General features: G+C 41.1%; 1 protein-coding gene and 1 long non-coding RNA gene across 26 annotated transcripts in view, besides 1 other annotated feature; one reads left to right on the forward strand and one right to left on the reverse strand.

Annotated features, from left to right (window-relative positions):
• The window catches only part of MYLK-AS1 (MYLK antisense RNA 1), a 45,309-nt gene that overhangs the window by 15,263 nt on the left and 7,415 nt on the right, over positions 1-22,631 (forward strand). The gene's annotated exons all lie outside the window — the stretch shown is intronic.
• The window catches only part of MYLK (myosin light chain kinase), a 274,284-nt gene continuing 260,926 nt past the window's right edge, over positions 9,274-22,631 (reverse strand). For 16 of the 24 annotated variants that reach the window (XM_047448184.1, XM_024453532.2, NM_001321309.2 and 13 more), the window contains 3 exons: positions 19,432-19,561; positions 17,864-17,995; positions 9,274-13,574 (listed from right to left, as the gene is read on the reverse strand). In XM_047448184.1, the coding sequence (XP_047304140.1) occupies positions 13,330-13,574; positions 17,864-17,995; positions 19,432-19,561 (507 nt within the window). In that variant the 3' untranslated portion in view covers positions 9,274-13,329. Of the gene's footprint in view, positions 13,575-17,863; positions 17,996-19,431; positions 19,774-22,631 lie in introns of those variants that run through there. The other 8 variants (XM_017006469.3, XM_047448182.1, XM_011512860.4 and 5 more) reach the window with 5 other exon arrangements.
• Positions 9,639-9,688: an enhancer, noted in NCBI's record as "active region_20394". NCBI's record gives its function as "activates an Ori minimal core promoter by ATAC-STARR-seq in GM12878 lymphoblastoid cells {active_cell/tissue: GM12878}" and the evidence as "EXISTENCE:reporter gene assay evidence [ECO:0000049][PMID:35858748]".

The following is a 22,631-nucleotide window of genomic DNA, read 5'->3' on the forward strand; positions in this document are numbered from 1 at the left end:
AATGCTCACAGTCATTAGAATGACCTTAGCACTATCTGACAAATCCATGATAATGCAGAATTCGGTTGGATATCATTTAATGTCCATAGGGGTGTGACCCTACCATGAAGAAGGACATGAAAACATTTTGGGATTCTACCAACTCCAAAAAGGTTTTAACAGACTGTGATGGTTAATATTGAGTGTCAACTTGATTGGATTGAAGGATGCAAAGTATTCTTCCTGGGTGTGTCTGTGAGGGTGTTGCCAAAGGAGATTAACATTTGAGTCAGTGGACTGGGAGAGGCAGACCAACCCTTAATCAGCTGCCAGCACTATCTAATCAGCTGCCAGGGTGGCTAGGATAAAAGCAGGAGGAGGAAAGTGGAAGGACTAGACTGGCTTAGTCTTCTGGCCTCCATCTTTCTCCTGTACTGGATGTTTCCTGCCCTTGAACATCAGATTCCAGGGTCTTCAGCTTTTGGACTCTTGGACTTACACCAGTGGTTTGCCAGGGGCTTTTGGGCCTTTGGCCACAGACTGAAGGCTGCACTGTCAGCTTCCCTACTTTTGAGGTTTTGGGACTCGGACTGGCTTCCTGGCTCCTCAGCTTGCAGACAGCCTATTGTGGGATTTCACCTTGTGATTATGTGAGCTAATACTCCCTAATAAACTCCCTTTCATATACACATTTATCCTATTAGTCCTGTCCCTCTAGAGAACCTTGACTAGCACACAGACTTAAATAAGAATCCTGAGGATCCAATGGAATGACCATAAGTATCTTTACAGGTAGTTGGAAAACATTACATATCTAAGGATAATTGAAGAAATGTAAAACCAAGTAGTGATGAAAGATGTTAGCTACAATATTTTTTTTGAGACAGGTTTTCACTCTGTCACTCAGGCTGGATGCAGTGGCAGATCATGGCTCACTGCAGCGTCAGCCTCCTGGGCTCAGGTAATTCTCCCATCTTAGCCTCCCGAGTAGCTGAGACTACAGGCACACACCACCACACGCAGCAGATTTTTTGTATTTTTATTAGAGACAGGGTTTCACCATGTTGCCCAGGCTGGTCTTGAACTCCTGGGTTCAAATGATTCACCCGCCTTGGCCTCTCAGTGCTGGGATTACTGTGCCTGTCCTAGCTACAATCTTATTTGGGGTTGCAAACTCCAGGAATAAAGGAATATTTAGGACTGAAACTCAAGGACTGGATTTTAGAGTCCAGAATGTAGTGACTACAGAAAGGAACTTAGCTCGGCAATCAGAGTCACAAGAAATATTTCCAGGGTGTCTTATAATTCCAAGTCTCATGCTCAGCTGAAGTGTTTGGTCAGAGTAAACTCAGCCAGCTGAGAAGATGATGTTCCCCTAAGTGGAAAGGCAATGTTTCTTCAAATAAACAACTTTCTTTAACTTTATGAAATTTAGAATTTAGAAAAGTTACAAAGTAAACATATGGTATTAAATGTTAGTTAAAATCCTTATTTTAGGTACTCCTTTTTATTCTTTTTTTAGAGATGGGGTCTTGTTCTGTCCTGTCAAGGAGCAGGTGTCCCTGAGAACCCAAACATTCCAGAGAGTATCTGAGAACCTACCTGGGAAAAAAGTCCCATAACACACACAGTAGGCAAAGAGCCAGAAAATTAGTTTAAAAGCAGCATAGGGATGGGAGGCAGCATGGGCCTCTAAAGCTGTCCTGCTGCTGTCCGGGAGTACCTCCTATATAAGTCCTAATAAACTCATCTACTTGCCAAACTGGACTTGTCTGAGTCATTGTTTGGTCTCTTGGCTCCCTCCCAGCTTGGGGGAAGGTTTTTCTATATGATTCCAGGTTTTTCTCATTACAGGCATGATAATGCATGCATGTAGTCCTGAGCTACTTGGGAGGCTGAGGCAGGAGGATTGCTTGAGTCCAGGAGTTTGAGGCTGCCATGAGCTATGACAGCACCACTGTATTCCAGCCTGGACGGTACCTTGCTCAAAAAAAAATAAAAATAAAAAGGCATATTAGAGAAACAGATTAGCCTGTGATTCCAATTTAACATATAAATTGTGTAACTGACTTAGATTTGGGATTCAAGATTTAACTCTTACTAAATTTATAACAGTATTGGACCATTTAAGTGACATTAAGTCTTATTGTATTTATAAATTTAATTATCATGAGACATTTCATTTGAGAAGTTATTTGTAGGAGCTTTTCTTGGGAAGTTTTGTTATAAGCCAATTGAAGAATTTAAAATGAAAATGAAATTATTATACACTAGTAATAATTTTCATTTGTTTGTTTGTTTGTTTGTTTTGAGACAGGGTCTCACTCTGTCACCCAGGCTGGAATGCAGTGAGGCCATATCAGCTCACTACAACCTCCGCCTCCTGGGTTCAAGAGATTCTCCTGCCTCAGCTTCCTGAGTAGCTGGGATTACAGGCATGCACCACCATACCCGGCTAATTATTTTATTGAGACGGAGTTTCACCATTTGGCCAGGCTGGTCTTGAACTCCTGACCTCAAGTGATCTGCCCACCTCAGCCTCTGAAAGTGCTGGGATTACAGATGTGCACCACTGCACCCAGCCATGTTTGTTTGTTTTTTGAGACAGAGTCTCACTCTGTTGCCCAGGCTGGAGTGCAGTGGCACAAACATACCTCACTGCACTCCTGGCCTTAAGCAATCCTCCCACCTCAGCCTCCCAGGTAGCTAGGATTACAGGTGTTTATTACATTTATGAACATGATTTAAAAATGATTAAGGGAATTAATTAATTAGATGCTAAAAATTCCCTTAAAAGTTAATATTGCATTTTGGTAGATTTTATAAACCTACCAAATCAGATCTGGAAATTGAATTTAAAAGTTTAAGGAAGAACTAGGTTTTAAAAATTGCAATAGGTAAAATATGAATTAAAAAGAACAAACTGGTCTCTGAATAATTTTTCTGTGTGCAAAAAATTGCCATTAAATGCATAAAGTACCCACATTGACAATTTGATGAGAATTGGATGTTTTTATTGAGAAATTCCCATATGACAGTATATGTGGGTCATTTCTCTAGATTGTCCAGTTTCCAAGAACAGTCCTTCAATCCCTTGCTTGTGCAAGAATAACCTGCAGCAGGGCTGGCTTCATGGGCCAGCATCCCATGCAGTCTCACAGGGCCCTGCTCTTAGAAGGACCTCACACTTGTTCTAATGCTCTGCTCAAAAAAAAAAAAAAAAAAAAAAAAAAAAGGCATATTAGAGAAATAGATTAGCCTGTGATTCCAATTTAACATATAAATTGTGTAACTGACTTAGATTTGGGATTCAAGATTTAACTCTTACTAAATTTATCACAGTATTGGACCATTTAAGAGAAATTTTGCCATCTTGAAAATTTTATTTTAAACAAGGAGCCCTACATTTTTATTTTGCACTGGGCCCTGCAAATTCTGTAGCCAGTCTTGCCCTGTAGTCAGAGTTGTGGCAGCCAAGCAGTAGGAGAGGGCTGGAGTTTCAAAGGTCAGTGTGCAGACTCTCCCCAGTCCCTGAGTTTTCTCAGTTGCCTCCCTCTCACCCACCAAGTTGTGCCTATTGTCCACCAGTCCGTGGTCTCTCCAGTCCAACTTTAAAAGATCCACTTTCCTGCCAGGGTCGAGGGGAGGAACTGTCAGCTGGCCATATGGGCTAGAGGAGGAGGAGATGAGGGGAATATCTAGTTCCCCTGCTTTTGCTAATTCTGTGGTAGGAATTACCTTGCCTTTTTCATTTGTGTTTTTGAGACAGGGTCTCATTCTGTTGCCCAGGCTGGAGTGCAGTGGCATGATCATAGCTCACTAAAGCCTTGAACTCCTGGGCTCAAGCGATCCTCCCACCTCAGCCTCCCGAGTAGCTAGGATTACAGATATGCACCACCACACCCAGCCTGAATCACCTTGTTTTTGAGGCTTTCTCCCCTGCAGACACTTGCAGAATGGAAAAAGTTGAAACTTAATTACCAATTAGCCTATTCCAAAATTTTGCTGACATCTCAACTCTAATGTATCTCCTTTCTCATTCTTTGCCCTTATGGATTTATGCCTTTTGTTCCTTTATTTAGGTTTTGGGAGAAACAGGAGAAAATGCAGGTGTTCAATCTGCCGGGCATGACAAGTGGTCTCAATTTAGCTTCCATAGAAACAAGGACTTTTCTCCTTAGTACTCGATTTTTGTTGCTTTATGTAATACTTAATCAAATGATATAATTACAATGACAAGTACAACTGGCATAAATAAGTTTAAGAACAAACCCATTTTGGCCGGGCGTGGTGGCTCACGCCTGTAATCCCAGCACTTTGGGGGGCCGAGACTGGTGGGTCACGAGGTCAGCAGATCGAGACCATCCTGGCTAACACGGTGAAACCCCGTCTCTACTAAAAATACAAAAAAATTAGCCGGGCGTGGTGGCAGGCGCCTGTAGTGGAGGCTAAGGCAGGAGAATGGTGTGAACCTGGGAGGTGGAGCTTGCAGTGAGCCGAGATTGCGCCACTGCACTCCAGCCTGGGCGACAGAGTGAGACTCTGTCTCAAAAAAAAAAAAAGAACAAACACATTTTGACTCTTGGTAAATATGCACCTCAGTTAGTGGGGACAGAAGTATGCGGGCATTAGTCATTTTACAGAAGGAATGAGAGTTGTGGTTAAGTTGGGCAAGTTGGATTAAATGGAGATTAGTCAACTGAGTTTCTATTTTAAATAAATGAATATAAGGCATTCATTAAGAGGGTGCATTATTGAAAGTCTAAATGATTTGGCTTCTTGGACAACCAATTTAACTTTAAAGAAGCTAATCTGTCTTTTTTTTTTTTTCTTTAGAAAAGAATGGGGTTTCATTCTTTTTGCCCAGGCTGGAGTGTAGTGGCGTGATCACAGCTCACTGCAGCCTCAATCTCCCAGGCCCAAGCAATCCTCCCTCTTCAGCCTCCCAAGAAGCTGGGACTACAGACACATACCATGACACCCGGCTAATTAAAACACAATTTATTTTTGTTTTTATTTTTTTTTTTGTAGAGACGGGGTCTCCCTATGTTTCCCAGGCTGGTCTTCAAGGCTCAAGGAATACTCTCGCTTTGTCCTCCCAAAGTGCTGAGATTACAGTTGGGAACCACCGTGCCCAGCCTAATCGGTGTTTTAAAAAGCCTTAAGCAAACAACTGCCTTTCTGGGATCAGAGTCTTTTCTGCACTTTGACATGGGTAGTATCGAAGAGTCCAGAGTAACCTCCTGACTCTTGGCCCCTGCTCTGTCCTAACTCCCAACAATCCCTGCCTCTGCCTTTATCTCCTAGTGGACTTTTGAGCTGCTTTGACCTCAAAGACCTTGGTTTGCATGTATGAGTCATACCTTGTGAGGCTCCCTTTCATAGGTACCTGGCTGTCTAGCCTCTAGCCTTTGGGGAATTCAGGGCAGACTGACTTGTCTTTCTGTTGGCTTCCTCCAATGCAGGATGTTAGCTTCAGTTTCTCTGCTCTACGTCAGTTATCCATTCTTTGTTTTCCATCTTCCATAATTCTGACATTTTCCATCTATCATCACCTGTATTTGTCTTTATATTTGAAGAGTTTATATCTCTATTTTATTTTATTATTATTATACTTTAAGTTTTAGGGTACATGTGCACAATGTGCAGGTTTGTTACCTTCACAGATGGGAACTGAACAATGAGAACACATGGACACAGGAAGGGGAACATCACACACCGGGGACATCTTTTTTAAAAACATTGTTATCCCTTTACTATCAGTTTAATGGAAGTTCTGAGGGGTAGAGAATCACTGCTTCTCTTGAGTAATTCATGTTTGACTTTCTCTCTACTGTGGTAGGTTCCTATTTCCTAAGCTGATATTTCCTTCATCTCCTGATTCTTCTGAAAACAGGAGTCTCAGTTTTTAGCTTTCTAGACAATTTGAAAAAGACATCTACTCAGCCTTCAGAGCCCTATTTGTTCTGTGGTTAATATGCAGCCAGAAACAAGTCAATGTAAGTCAGCTTTTGCAAATATCAATTAGAACTTAGGGGATGTGTCAGGATAAAACTTAAAGTGTAATTAGTTTAAGTCAAGCTAACTCTGGGAAATTTCCTCTTGATAGAAAAATAATATTCATAAGGTCAGATGAGCTTTTCTCCTTTGACTGTTAAGAAGGGAATATTTAGGGATTGGAAGTTAAAATTTTCCTTAGAACGAGATTTAGATTTGTAACATTTCCTAAACTCACAGCAATTGTTTTTTTGTACAATTGCATGGCACTTTCAGTTTCAAAGATCCTTTTTTTTGGGAGGTGGGTAGAACTTAAAATAATACCTTCCATCTTTAGTACAGTTGTTAGTGGGGTATTGGTTCCAGGACACCCCCACAGATAACAAAATCTGCAGTTGCTCAAGTCCCTTATATAAAATGGCATATGTAGTATTTGCATGTAACCTATGCACATTTTCCTGTATGCTTTAAATCATCTCTAGATTACTTATAATACCTAATACAATGCCTACACATCACTTCTTTCACATAGATTCAATGTAGTACTAGGTGAACAGCAAATTCAAGTTTTGCTTTTTGGAATTTTGTGGAACTCCCCACCCCCAAATATATATTATATATTATATAATATATATAATATATATTTTATATTATATATAATATATATTTTATAATATATATTTTATATTATATATAATATATATTTTATAATATATAATTTTATATTATATATAATATATAATATATATTTTATATTATATATACTATATATTTTATATTATATATACTATACATTTTATATTATATATACTATATATTTTATATTATATATACTATACATTTTATATTATATATACTATACATTTTATATTATATATACTATATATATTTTATATTATATACTATATATTTTATATTATATACTATATATATTTTATATTTTATATACTATATATATTTTACATTTTATATACTATATTTTATATTATATATATATTTTATATATAATATATAAATATAATAATATATTTTATATATAATATATAATATAATATATATGATATATAGTATATATATTTTATATATTATATATAATATATATTTTATATATTATATATAATTTTACATATATAGTTTATTTATATATATATATATATATATATATATATATATATATATATATATATATATTTTTTTTTTTTTTTGGGGACAGCATCTCGCTCAGCCACCCAGGCTGGAGTGCAGTGGTGTGATCTCGGCTCACTGCAACCACTGTCTCCCGGTTTCAAGCAATTCTCCTGTCTCAGCCTCCTTAGTAGCTGGGATTACAGGCACCTGCCATCATGCTCAGCTAATTTTTATATTTTAGTAGAGACAGGGTTTCACCATATTGGCCAGACTGGTCTTGAACTCCTGACCTCAGGTGATCTGCCCACCTCGGCCTCCCAAAGTGCTAGCATTACAAGCACGAGCCACCACACCTAGCCTCCCACCAAATATTTTTCATCTCCAGTTGATTGAATCCATAGATTTGGAATGCATGGATACAGAGGGCTGACTGAATATAACTTTTTCACATATTTGGGGTTTTTTTTTTCCTGCAGAAATGTAATCTGTTCTTTCAGAGTAGAGATTGTTTCTGATACATCTTAGCATCTCTGAGTGCCAGAATGAGGGCGTACCATAAGGTCAGGCACATAGAGCTTGTTTAATCTTTCTATCAAGCCATGAGTGAGGAACTACTATAACTCTAATTTTATAACTGTGGAAACTGAGGCACAAGCTACACAGCTGTAGTAAGAGGTAGAGGTAAGAGGTAGTAACTTATTTTACAGAGGGAATGAAAATGGTGGGTAAGTTGGACAAGTTGGTTCCTAGGATAGCACCAAGAGGAACTGACTCCACTGATTAACCAGGTTAGCTGCCTCCTACCCAAGCACACTGCAGGATTTGCCTTCAGTGACAACATGCAAGGTGCTTTCTGGAGAGGCATATCTGGGACTTCATGGAGCTTGCAGAATCGGTTGTATGGCTGCTGGCTAATAGGTGTTTGACAAGTTTGGCCTGAGACTATCTTTGAAACATACCACCTGAAGCGTGGTTGTGGAGAAGCCCCATAGCTCAATCTTATCTTAACTATTGGAGGCTACTGATACCTGCCTTAAAGATGTTATTAATAATAAATATGAATGACCAAATTGACTTAGGTTAATTTGTAACCTCCTTCTCCCTTAGTTATCTCCAGCCGAAAGAAATCTAGTCTAAGAGAGTCACAAAATATCTTGTGAAAATTTACCACAGGCCTCAAACAGAGACTCGGGGGACTGAAGTCTCTGACATGAAGCGCTTCCTGCAGGGTATAAGCATTTGGAACACGGGTAAGGCCTATGGGCTAAAATCTCCAGCCAGCAGCGGTTAGAAATTCAATGTTGTCCCCAAGCACTTTAGATCTCCTGAGTGTTTTGAATTCCAGTGGGAAGGGAGTTCTGATAAAAGGCAGCTGAGTTTGGAAGGATTGTAGCCTCAGGATGGCTCCTCTGCCTTTTGACCCATGGTTGAGGAAATTCTGCCTCAGCAGCCCTGTCTCCCTTTCTGCATCCATCTCATAGTCCCCACTGGTGATCCCCCATCTCAAGTAGCAAATTCCAAAGACGTTGGAGAATGTTGGCCTTGTTGGTTGTCTCATATCAGAAATAATCTGAGAGTTGCTTGTGAATTGCAGGACTATTTAGATTTTGAGGTCAGAAGCATAGAACTGGTACTTTTTTTTTTTTTTGAGATGGAGTCTCACTCTGTCGCCCAGGCTGGAGTGCAGTGGCGCAATATCCGCTCACTGCAAGCTCTGTCTCCCGGGTTCATGCCATTCTCCTGCCTCAGCCTCCCGAGTAGCTGGGACTACAGGCGCCCGCCATCACGCCCGGCTAATTTTTTGTATTTTTAGTAGAGACGGGGTTTCACCGTGTTAGCCAGGATGGTCTCGATCTCCTGACCTCGTGATCCGCCTGCCTTGGCCTCCCAAAGTGCTGGGATTACAGGCGTGAGCCACCGCGCCTGGCCAGAACTGGTACTTTTAAAATGTCTTTTTATTTTTTAATTAATTTTTTTTAAAGAAATAGAGATGGGGTCTTGCTATGTTGTGCAGGCTGGTCTTGAACTTCTGGCCTCAAGCGATTCTCCTGCCTTGGCCTCCCAAAGTGCTGGGACTACAGGTGTGTACCACTGTACCCAGCCTTTAAAATGTCTTAAAAAGTGAAAAACTATATTTGAATATAAATAAAGAATTAAGAACAACAACACTTGAGTATCGAGACTATATTATCCAATACAATTGATGAAACTATAGACCATACTCTCTAGACTTTCACACAAGCTTTTCAGTTTTAATTTCACATAATTTGAAAAGTGATGTACATGTGACTGTCGAGCATTTGAAATGTAACTCATACAACTGAGGAACTGAATTTTTTATTTTATTTTTTAAAGTAACTTAAATTTAAATAGCCACTTGTGAGTAGTGGCTACCATCCTGGTCACCACACATCCAGAACATGGTGATAAGCCTGTATCAGGATAGTCTAGGTTATGTTGCAGCCACTGAGAACCCCAAAATCTTGGTGATTTATAAGAACAAATGTTTATTTCTTGCTTGTGTTATGTCCCCATTTTGGGTTGGCTAGAGACCCAGATGGCTGCAGCAGCCACCATCTCATGTGTTGCCCGTCATTATGGAGAGGCTTGTACCAGCACATAAATGCTCTGGTCCCGAGGGTACATACATCACTTCTGGTCACAGCTCACTGACTAGGACTAGTCACATGGCCCCATCTAACCAGGAAGCCGAGAGTGAAGCCCTAACTCTGTGCAGAGATCCTTAGCAACAACTGCCACCAACATTAGCCCCCCCTTTCAAATTACAGGAAGGAGTCCCAAGGGATAAAGAGAGTAGTGCTACTTGTGTTTTCTTGAAAAATGGAGAATTGGGTTTCTCACAACTCAATTATTTATTACCTCCTATGTACTTATTAGCACAGATTTATCAAAAACAGGTGAGGTGTGGAGCAAAAAGCAAATTTCAAACATTTTAACAAAAATAAAAAATCTTTACATAAATTTAGAGCTGACAACAGTCAGCATGTCTTATTAGTTGCATGTAGGAAATATCTTTTAATAAGATATGCAATGCAAGGAACAATCAATGGATTATTTTTTATATGTTTGGGATGAAAATGAATGGAAGAAAGTATATCTGTTATTTTTCTCAGTGCAGCATATAAATTGTACATTTTTCACTAGCAAGGAATAAAAAGTCATTTTCTTTAAAAATAATAAATTGTTAGGGACATTTGTGGATTGTGAGTGTCTTAAAAATGAAAACACTAAATATTTATTAACTGGACAATGGATTGTTTCTTTCCAGACTACATCAAAGAATCAGAGAATTATCTAGCCCTACATTTAACAGCATGTCTTAAACTCTTTCTAGACCATCCACAATATTGTTTGAACATCTGAAGACATGGGGAACTTGCCATCTGATATCTGATAACAGACTTCCTGTAAAGCAGGACTGGTAGTTTCCTGATAACAAATTCTTCAATATGAAGGTATGGATAAAGCATTTGGCTGCCAATAATGAACTGCACCAAAGTCACCAATTCAAACCATGCCCTGGTAAATAGTATCATCAGTGATGATGATGATGATGATGATGATAATGTCACATGTTAAAAATGTCATATAGATTTTAGCATCTTGAGGACCTGATACTCTGTAACAGTGGTCCCTAACCTTTTTGGCACCAGGGACCACTTTCATGGAAGACAGTTTTTCCATGGACCAGGAGAGGGGGTGGTTTTGGGATTATTCAAGCACATTACATGTATTGTGCATTTTATTTCTATTATTATTACATTGTAATAATATATTTTATTATAATATAAAATAAGTATACAACTCATCATAATGTAGAATCAGTGGAAGCCCTGAGCTTGTTTTCCTGCAACTAGACTGTCCCATCTAGGGGTGATGGGAGACAGTGACAGATCATCAGGTGTTAGATTCTCATAAGGAGCGTGAAACCTAGATCCCTCACATGAGCAGTTCACAATAGAGTTCGTTCCTGAGAGAACCTGATGCTGCCGCTGATCTGACAGGAGGCAGAGCTCAGGCGGTAATGCGAGCAATGGGGATCGGCTGTAAATATAGATGATGCTTTGCTCACTTGCCCACTGCTAACCTCCTTATGTGTGACCTGGTTCCTAACAGGCTACTTACCGGGGGTTGGGGACACCTGCTCTATAAGATATCCTTCTAGAATGATTGATATAGTACTAAGCTGATGCTCAAGAGAAATTTTGAACTAAATGTGTAAATTCGGCTACCTATATAAACAAGAACTTCCTAAATCATTCTGTTCCATAGCAAAACACAACCACATAAGCCAGTTCTTCACATCTAGGCACCACAGTGTTTGTTTTTCATTTCCAGGATATAGCTGTGTCCTTTACAACTGGTAGCATGGAAAGAAAGAGAAGTCTGCAAAGATTGAACAAACAGCATGCACTGTGGTATCCTTTATTTAAAAATTGTGAGCTGACTACAGTTGTAGTGTTCTCATTTACCATTCTGATGGCATAATAAACCAAGAGAACATTAACACAATTCCAAGAAGGCATTAACCTGTAACACACATATACGCCACACATGCACACACACAACATACACGCACACAAAGGTTATATTCTGAACACAAAAGTGATAGAAAAAAGCTTTGAATGCGCTAAATCAAATAAAAACCCTTTATTATAATAAACTGTGGCAATACTGTGGCTATCATGAAAAATATTGTAACTATTTTAAAAGCAAAAGGAAAAATACTGGCAGTTTGAAACTAGCAGCAAAAAGCAGATAAAAATAGAATGGAAGATAACATAAGACTAATATCAAAATTCTAATGTTGATACTGTGTAGGATTGCACTGAAGTAATTTTAAATTGGTTCTTAAGGAACTCTTAAAAAGTCCCTTAAAAATATTAAATTGTTGCACCTTACAAACAGTGGAAAAGAAAAAAAAAGTATTTGGAATGTTACACACACACACAGAGGAAATGTATTAGGTCTATCATCAATTATGGTCTTTGTTTATGACCTTCAAAAAGCTTTATAAAGAAAAAATTTAAGTGCCAATGTAGTGAAAGAAAGTTAAAAATTCCTAAAGACGCAAGTCTGAGTGCATTTACCAGGTCTAAGAATATATTTAAAGGTTGGGGGCAAGGCATGATTGATGCACATTTAAGAAGAAAAATATGGAACCCATAAGGTAGGTCAAGTTCTTTGGAGAGTGTTGAGAATGAAGATGTATTAAACTCTGGCTATCTTGGAGGAGATTCCAAAGTACATGGAGTTCTCCAGCTCTTTATCAGTTGAAATCTGTTTCATCGTGGCCAATAGATAATTAAGACTAACTTTTCAGCAAACTGATTTCTCCTATATTCAAACACAAAAATCTTTACCACACGTTCAGAGCTGATATTCTATAACAGCACAAATAAGAATCCTGGTTTACAAAGGAAACCACATTAGCAAGGATTTTTTTTTTCCCATGGGTTCTTAACCAAATGTCTGAAGCTGCTAGACATCTGCAAAGAGGGGATAAGTTTAGATTTCCTACTGATTTTGGAAGAAAAATATTTTCCTAAGGAAGCCAGAGTCATCCATGAGCAGGGACCTGTCTTCAGAATCGAAGAAGCATAATGTCCTTAATGCTTACACTCATGACAAGTTGAGAGTCAGCAAAACTGGCAGGTGGAAGGGGAAAGAGAAATGGAGAGTTTGAACATCTGCAGTGTACTTTGGAATAAAGTGGCTCAACTGCTTTCAGAAATGAATTGCTGGAGTACTGGGAGAAAACCCAGTTCTCTAGAGTCAGGGGGTGGGGAGAGAGAGGCCTCCCATCCCCAGGAACCCTCTGGGCTGAGCTGTGGCCCAGAACTCTTGTTTTGGCCTTATTTTTCATGAGCGCATTCAAGTGGAGAATTTATGACTTTGCCCAGATAAATATTTGGTTTGGTTACTTTCTCTCTAAAATCAATTGGTCAGTCAAGTTACTGGTGATTTCCCTAAATGAAATCTAGCTGCACTAGTATCTTAAGGTGCCAACTAACATAGATTAATGCCCATCAATAACGCTGCTAGGTATCAACTGCTGTTTCTGAAGAATCAACCCACAAATGACCTAACCGATAATCTATCACACTAGGTGCTTTTACTATCTTGAGTTTTTTTTTTTTTTTTGAGTTTTAGAGAAATAGTCCTTTTAATATGACTTAGAAACTGCTTTTCTCTGGCTTTGTTTCACTCTTCTTCCTCTTCCCCTTCCCCTTCACCTTCCTCCATCGTTTCCACAATGAGCTCTGCTGTGCAGGTGGCTTCTCCAAGACTGTTGACAGCCTTGCAGGTGTACTTGGCATCGTCATCCCCGCAAACATCACTAATAATTAAAGAGCAGTTCCCGTCCTCATCGTAGTCTATCTGGAAGTGGCGGGACTCCCTGATTGACTGGTCATCTTTGAACCAGACAACCTCGGGGTCTGGGTATCCTGCATCACAGGGAGAGAACACAAGTTGCAGGAACTGTTATTCAAAATTTCTTATCAACTCATGCAAGCAACTTGTAAGCTACCACTATTGATTAAGGTGGTTAAGGAGAAAATTTTGATGTTGGCCTTTATCGACTGTTTTGATATCTACATTAGAATATGGACATGTCTTGTAAATACCAATATCTGAAACCCCAAATAGAATATTTTAAAGTTGTTCCATTTCCCACACATGTTGGACTAGCACCACATCCCACCTATTAAAAAACTTATTTAATAGTTTTTTTATTTTTTTAAAGTGATGAGTCTCACTCTGTTGCCTAGGCTGGAGTGTAGTGGCATGATCGTAGCTTACTGTTGCTCAAATTCCTGGGCTCAAACGATCCTCCCTTCTCAGCCTCCTGAGTAGTGAGACTATAGGCATGAGCGACCGTGCTCAGTTAAACATCACACCTTTCACTTTTTGGGGGGTAGGGGGGCAGGGTCTCATTCTATCACCTAGGCTGGAGTGCAGTGGCATGAACATGGCTCACTGCAGCCTCAACTTCCTGGGCTCAAGTGATCCTCCTCCCTCAGCCTCCCAAGTAGCTGGAGCTATAGGTACATGCCACCATGCCTGGCTAATTTTTTAAAAAGTTTTTTTTTTGTAAAGACAGGGTCTCCCTATGTTGCCCAGGCTGGTCTCAAACTCCTGGGCTCAAGTGATCCTCTGACCTTGACCTCCCAAAGTGCTGGGATTACAGGTGTGAGCCACCACACCCACCCATCTTTAAACAGACATAGAGTACTACCTGAGGCTAGGCATGGTGGCTCATACCTGTAATCCCAGCACTTTGGGAGGCCAAGGTGGGCAGGAGTTCAAGACCAGCTTGGCCAACATGGCAAAAAAATAAAAATTAAAAATAGAGTACTACCTGAAATACTGCTCCAATTCCAACTCTACACCTAGATCTGAATACCTTCTTAGATTGAAAATACAATTTTCTTTTTCCTTTTTTTTTTGAGACAGAGTCTCACTCTGTCGCCCAGGCTGGAGTGCAGTAGCGTGATCTTGGCTCACTGTAACCTCCGCCTCCTTGGTTCAAGTGATTCTTGTGCCTCAGCCTTCTGAGTAGCTGGGATTACAGGTGCACGCCACGACACCCGGCTAATTTTTGTATTTTTAGTAGAGACAGGGTTTCAGCATGTTGACCAGGCTGGTCTGTATCTCCTGACCTCAGGTAATCTGCCTGCCTTGGCCTCCCAAAGTGCTGGGATTACAGGTGTGAGCTACCTGTGCTCGGCCGAAAATACAATTTTCTATCTTTTTTTTTTTTTGAGACAGAGTCTCACTATGTTGCCTAGGCAGGAGTGCAGCAGCATGATCTCGGGTCACTGCAACTTCCAATGTCCAGGCTCAAGTGATCCTTCCACCTCAGCCTACTGCATAGCTCAGACTACAGGTACACACCACCACACCCAGCTAATTTTCGTATTTTTTGTAGAGATAGGGTTTCACCATGTTGCCCAGGCTGGTCTTGATCTCCTGGACTCAAGTGATCTGCCTGCCTTGGCCTTCCAAAGTGTTGGGATTACAGGCGTGAGCCACTATGCCCAGCCTAAATTTTCAATTTTGTATAATAGTTTAAGTGAAATAATTTAAATGAAAAATAAGAGTCAAAACAAAATGGGAACAAGGGATCTTTTTGGAGTGATGAAAATGTTCTAAAATTGGATTGTGGTATAAATTCATTAAAAATAATTGAATTGTGCATTTAAAATAGGTGAATTTTATAGTATATAAATTATAACTGAATAAAGCTAATAACAGCTATATAAAACATAATTTAAAAGAGCTGATAATATTGCTAAGAAGAAGAAAGCAATATTTGTCTTAGTCTGATCCAAAGCAGGTAATTTGCCTATGGACAATTGGAAATGGACCTCACCAATGAGCCTTTATGCATTAGTCATATCTCTGCAAAGTTCAGCATTAAAAAATAAAATACACATGCATATAAAATATATATTATATGTATTTAATGTGTATGTGTACATATATATGTACAGAAGCATTACCAACATTATGCATTTTGTTTGCAGGTACATAGTATATACATGTACCCCGCTTTTAAAGTCATATATATACATACATTTAAAAATATACAATATATTCCACCTGACTTTCTCTTAAATGTTGGTGAAGTATTTTTATAGGAAAAAAATTGTAGCCCTGATACGGTTTGGATATTTGTGCCCCTTGAATCTCATGTTGAAATGTGATCCCCAGTGTTGGAGGTGGGGCCTGGTGGGAGGTGTTTGGGTCATGGAGGCCGATCCCTCATGAATGTCTTGGTGCCCTTCCCGAGGTAATGGGTGAGTTATTGCTCTGTCATTTCATGCGGATCTGGTTGTTAAAACGTGGCACGTCCTTCTCTCTCGCTCTCTCACTTGCCATGTGACATGCCTGCTTCTGCTATGATTAAAAGCATCCTGAGGCCTCACTGGATGCAGATACTGGCACCAAGCCAAATAAGCTTCTTTTCTTTATAAATTTTCCAGCCTCAGGTATTCCTTTATAGCAATGCAAACAGGCTAATATGAGCCCTAACCAGAATAAAAATTATACATAAGAAATCAAGAATTCTAATGTTCTTTTCAATGTTGTTTTTTCAAAATAATTTTAGAAATTGTTTTTTCGAAGTAATTAGGAACACCCAGACCATGAGGAAAATTGGGTCAGGAAGAGCTGGTCATAAAGTACCCTCCACTCCCATGCCCTGCACCCTCAGTGCAAAAGTTTCAATTTTGTTTTTATCAAAACAGCATCCATATGCTTTAATTTCTCATCAGAGCCCCAGGCAAAAGTTACATAAATATCAATGAAACAATTCCAAAGAGAAAATTAAGTACGAAACAATCCCAAAGAGAAAATTAAGTACAAAATGATAATCATTATGTTATTTTAAAACATTCAAAAAGGAAAAGAAACTTCAGAAGACCCAAATGCAATGGTAATGGTGAGAATTGCAAGCAGTGGCTCCAGAGCCTTCAGCAGAATCCCCAGTCCGAGAATTTTCACATTATCAAAGGCAGCACATCCACTTTCTTTTAATTGAGTGAGGAAAGGAAAATGACTATGGTAGGCGAAGCATTGATAAGGCACTTTGATAATATAAAGATGCAGAAGAAAAACTATTTTTTCCATTCCTAACTTTGGGTTATTTTACTCAAAAGGCATTGTCTAGTCACATTGCTGGAGAATCAAAGAAAGTGGGAGGCACAGTTTGTTTTGACTGCTGTACTGTGCTATGCGGCCTCGGGAAAGTTGCCTAATAAACTTCTGTGCTTTATTTGGTCAGACCAAAATGGGTGATAACCCACCACCCTGGTTGGCAGGTGAAAGTCACAGACTTGAAGCAAAGAGCCTGTCTTATCTTGTCCCTTCTCTTTCTAGACGGTTGCAATCTATATGAAAATGGAAACGCTTTGTGTCATCAACTTTGCTCATTTCTCAGGTGCTATGCCATGACCCCTTAAGGTCCCTTGAGCTCTGACCACTGACAGGTCTGTGGCTGCATTATTCCCAGCAGGCAGATAAGCAGCCTGGGGAAGATGGTGCCGGCTGAGTGCTTTGTCCCGGGTGCCTGGCTCCCAACTGGCCTCAGTCTGAAGTCACAATGCATGCACTCTCTCTGTACCTGCCAGTCCCACAACTTTTCCCTTTGCTCTGTGACATCTTTACAAGATCTAAAAGGTTCCCCCTTCTCACATATGTCCCCTCACAGAATCCCCAGAGCCACTCCGTGACTTAGCTATCATCTTACAGCAGAGGGACCGTAACTCAGGGGAGTTGGACCACCATCCAAGGTCACACAGCCTGTGGACGAGTAGCAGAGCCTGCCGATTCCACATCCTATGCCTTTGTGCCAGCCTTCCTTTGAGGGCCTCATATGGGCAAGTCACATGCTTTTCAGCAGTTTGCAAAGCTCATTTCACTAAGCATGTTCCAAAGCCAGGTAAGTCCATGCAAGGCCATTTCTAAACTTAGGTCTAGTGGCTGATGTAAGTAGGTGAAATTTCAAATGTGCCCCCTGGGGAAGTGACTGAAGGACACACCTTCAGGAGGTGGGAGTGCAGGGCATAGCCCTTTATGAGCAGCTCCTGCTGACCCAGTTTCCCCCAAAGCTTGGCAGTTCCTCATTGTCCCCAGCTGCACAGAACTGACTTCTTGCCCACGGTGCATGGTAGGGACTCTACCATCCAGCCACACCCTATTCATGGTGAAGAGAAGCACAGCTACAACTTACCTTCAATCTTGCAGTCAAATCTAGCAGCACTTCCCTCCACAACTTCTAAATCGCGAATGGTCTTAGAGAAATAGGGTTTTACATGAGGCTTTTCCTCAGCAACAGCCTCAAGGAAAGCTTGGGACACATCTTCTAGAAGACAGAGAAGAAGACCAGGTCATTTCTTCACTCGTTGTTCTCGCCTCGCCTCTAGCTTAAAGAAACTAACTTTTAAAAAAGTTGCTATGATTTAGCAAAGAAGGCAGCTTTGAGAACTGAATCATAAGCACGCCTTTCTCCTGGGGACAGGTTGGCCTGCTGCCAAATGGTTTTTGGCAGAAGAAGGAACTGTGCCCAAGCTGAGGAAGGATCAGACTCCCCCTTCCCCTTATGCTGACATGTTGAAAGAGGAAATCATCTTTAAAAAGGATTTCTGGCTGCATTTCATGCTGCTTTAGGATTCAGCTGAGGGTATCTGAGCAGGGCAGGACCTCATCAGCCTTCCTAGTCTTGGTATCCCTCTGCCTTCCTTCTGCAGCAGGTGTTCCACCTGCTTTTTACAAGGGAGGAGTCAGGTCCTAGCCGCATCTTTAGCTTCCAGTGGCTCTTTCTCCATGCTCACACTGCCTTCATGCTGTGTGACTGTGGACCAGGATGTGGGATTGGTTCAGGGAAAAGCTGTAACTTGGAGGGACACCTGTATCTCCTCCCTTCCCTTCAGGCTATGTCTGGGTCATCTGAGGAGGGGCAGAAGTGGCTCAGGAGGGACCAGGCCTGTGTGCTGCAGTCTCTATCCCTGGCTGTGAGGAAGCTCCAGAGCAGGCAGTTGCTGGCCTCACCAATAACCCTACCTTTGCTCACCAAGGGAATCTAAACTCAGATTCTCACCTGTGGATACAAAAAGCACCAGGCAGGGAGGGACAGAGGGTGTCTCTGGCCAAATGAGATAAGGGTCTGGCCCTGCATGCACCTGAAGCAGGAAAAGGCTGGGGTTTTCACTGAGGAGATGGACGGGACAGCATCTAAGATGGTGAGCAAGTAACTGACCCTATTAGTCTCCAGGAGGAGACCTGCCAGTCCCAGTCTGCCCAGTTCAAATGACACGATTCAGCATCATGAACAATGCCAAAGAATGTGGACCATATGAGTTAATTTTTATTTAAAACAAAACCACAAAGATGGTAGAAAATAGAATATTTTATAAATCTTACACAACTACATGTAATTTTAATGTTATTTTTGCCTATTAATATAGAATATCACTTTTGCCATAAGAACAAAAGAAGATTTTAATACAATCTTTGTTAATTTTAACACAAAATATATGAAAAAGCATAGCTGAGGTCATCTAGTTCTATTAGACAAATAACAACTTTCCCTCCGAAAATGGTTAAGCTTAAAGTTAAACGATTAAGAATAATTATTAGACTTAGTAATTGTCAGGGCAACCCAAAATTACTTCTGAATTTATCCTTGCAGGGAATATTAAAATAAAAAAAAAAAGAACAAAACCAACCAAAACCTCAAAATGCCCCTTTGTTCCCCAGCCCTTTCTTTCTCACCAGCTGGCTGGAGAAACTCCTCCTTACCTTCAGATTCTAGTTTTTCTGCATTGAGCGGGCTGGTTGGTGACCCTGTTGAGGATTTCCTGCCACTGAGCCCTGAGATCATTGCCATAGAGGACAGTCTTCCAATGGCTCTCACAGCATTGCCCGTTTTCTGGAAAATAGACACGAGGGTTGGACTCAGGCGTTGTCCCTGGTTCCAGCTGGGTAGTGCGAGGGGCTGCAGGGAGTAGAGCCCAGCCCCAGAGAAGCAGCTGTTCCCTGGAACAAGGACCTCCTGAGAGCCGAGGTTCTGCCAGAGGAGCGAACCCAACCTTGCTCTGCTCAGCACTGTCAGTGTGTCAGAAGATGTTCAGAGAATGGAATGGGGCCTGGAACTGATGTGTGCGTTAATGTGACTAAACAAGGTCAACATGAGACAAAAACCCTTTTCATACAGTGCTTCAACTCCCATAAAAGGGATGGTTTATATAAAGCAACTGCAGGCTGAGACAGCTCCAAAGACTTATTGCTGACTGGGCCTAGCGGGGCTATTTCTCGTAAAACAATGCCAGTGATGTGATTATAATTGGCCAAGAGAATAGTTACTACAGATCCCACAAGTCCTGATGCAAAAATAATCATAATAATAATAACACAGCATCCTGTTGACCTTGGGCAAGTCACTTAACCACTCTGAGCTTCAGTCTCCTTCTCTAGGAGGGGGCTGGACAAGATGATCTCCAAGGTCCCATTTAGCTCTGTTTATAATTCAGAGACTTAAAAGATTTTGAGAAACACTCTGGCTGGCCCCTGCACAAGTCTATGATGCAGTGAAGCTCTGGAGAGGAGCTCTTCCTTGGTGTGCATTCAGGCACCAAAAAGAAGCATTGAAGAAATAAAAGGCAACGGCACTTTGCTTCTCAGTGACTAGACTTGGGAGAGGAAAGAATTTCTGCTGAAAAGGATCAGAACTTGAGATGTAATTTATTTACATTGCGAAAATTCTACCAAGCATAGGATCCCTAATAATGTACAATTGTGTCTTATTGTTTCTTATCTTTCAGTAAGTTTTTCACCTTTTTTCTAAGGTTAACAGGAATGACTAAGATAAGAAAACTAAGGCACAACCAAGTCTTTCCACCCCTGCACCCAAAGCATCTTTTTTAGGCATCGAAAAGCTGTGCATCTAGACAACAGATGTCACCACAGACTGGCTACTTGTCCTCCCTGAGAGAGGGAGGAAACAGCCTCTTCATAGGCAAATGGCTTGTACTCGTTGCATCTCAAACTCTGCCGGCAAAGCCATTTTCCTCCTCAGTTCACTTCACATGCTCAAGTACTTCAGTAAAGCCTCACAATTTAGGACTAGTTGGAAAGCCAGTAAGCTTCAGTAAAAAGACTGATCATTTTGAAAGTGAATAACTTCTGGGTGCTAAGGAAACATACAGAAAATTGTGTGCGTGTGTGTATGGTTAAAGAGGAGACCTACTGCAGTGAGCGGGATGACCTTACTGTCATGCCTCCTGCCATCCTTGCTGCAGACTGCTCTCATGCACTTTGGACAGACATTTCACCTTGCTCTGTCCCCTGGCCATCCCTTCTCACACACATCACACTGTATGGTGTGGGTATGTTTCTGGCCTCTGCCACCACAGTGAGGCTGGGTCGCTGAACAGAATCCACGCAGCCCCAGGTGGAGGTGATGAGGAGGGGAAGATGGTGAGAGATGAAAACTGAACAACTTAACTGTGCGCAGAACCACCGTGTGGCCCTGCGGAGAATGCCTCTGCAGGCTCAGGCCACGTGGCAACCTTTCATGCTCTTCTGGGAGATGTTACTGGTTCAACCTGTTTGTTGTGCTAGACAAAGTGTAGAGAGAGAGAGACCCAGCTCTTCCCATGGGAGGTTACCCTGCCCTCAGGAACAGGTAAGAGGTGGTACCAGCCATGGCAGCCCTCCCTACGTAGTCAATGTCAGACCAGCCTGCTTCCTAATCAACCCGATTCTCAGACTCGGCCCTTCTCTGCTCTCCATTCCCTTTATCCAACACAGATTGGTTTGTCCTGGGCTAGGAGCCTCTAAACCCAGAGGGTTCATTCCCAACAAGGGACAGGTTAGTTCTCTAACCCTAATTGCTGGGAGACCTTGTGCAAGTCAGTTCCCCTCTCTGGGCCTCAGTAGCCTGGGAGCAGAAGATTCTAATCTTCCTGCAGTTCCAGACCTCTACAGAACGACTCTGGTTTATATCCATAAATGTGTAGCAAGGAACACCCGCCTTGAGCCCATGGGCTCCCCAATTCCAGACATCAGGATTGGGACTGATGAGGACTGTCTTCACCTGTGTGGTGTGGCGAGACGATGTCTTTTTTCTTCCAGATTTTATTTCATAACAAAATGACTAAAATGAAGCTATCAGAATGAGGAAACAAAAGAGTTATAGTATTTCAGAGGAAGTAGTAAATATATTAACAAATAAATATGTCTCACATAGGGAGAACTTTTCTAAAAGATGGAGATATCCAGCATATAATTTCTAAAACATAGAAAAATATTTGGGAATTGATTTGTGAAAAAAAATTGCCGAGGAAGTTATTTGTCAGAACTAGAAATGAATATATCAGTATGTTCTAGTCTTCCAGTTTTATGCCTTTGAGCTGACAATTGGTTGTTGCTTTACTGACCAAAGACCTTTGGAAATTTTTGGAACATCAAGATCGCCAAGTTTTGATTTTGTAATTTCTCCCTTTTTCTTGCTTGAGGGCAATTGCCCAGGCTGGGTTCCTGTGTCGCTGGTGAGCAGTATCTGCACCAGCCTCCTTCATGCAGCACAAATTCCCTGCCCCTTGGAGAGCTTGTGGGGCCAGCCATCCTGGCTTGCCCAGGCAGGCTTGTGGAGTTTCCCAGGATTAGGGTCTTTTGGCACCAATACTAAGACATTCCCTGACATACATACAGCAAGCTGGTTACCCATCAAAGCCCCCCATATATACCAGTAGCCCCAAGACTACAGTTTCCCCTGAGCAGTGCATACCATCCAAATGGGATGGCCAAGAATACTCCGTGCTATACTGAGTCCAGTGTTTTCTCCCCTAATGCCCTTGGTCCATACTGCTGGGGTCTTTATGGTTCCCAGAAAATAAAGATGGCTACCTAAGGGCCTCTGATGTCTAGTCTTTTGCTTCCAGTGTGCATGCGGAAACCCTGTTAATCTGCTCAACCTACCTGCCCCCATTGCTACACCT

This window comes from Homo sapiens, chromosome 3, assembly GCF_000001405.40.
Source record: "Homo sapiens chromosome 3, GRCh38.p14 Primary Assembly".
In the NCBI taxonomy this organism is placed as follows: Eukaryota; Metazoa; Chordata; class Mammalia; order Primates; family Hominidae; genus Homo; species Homo sapiens.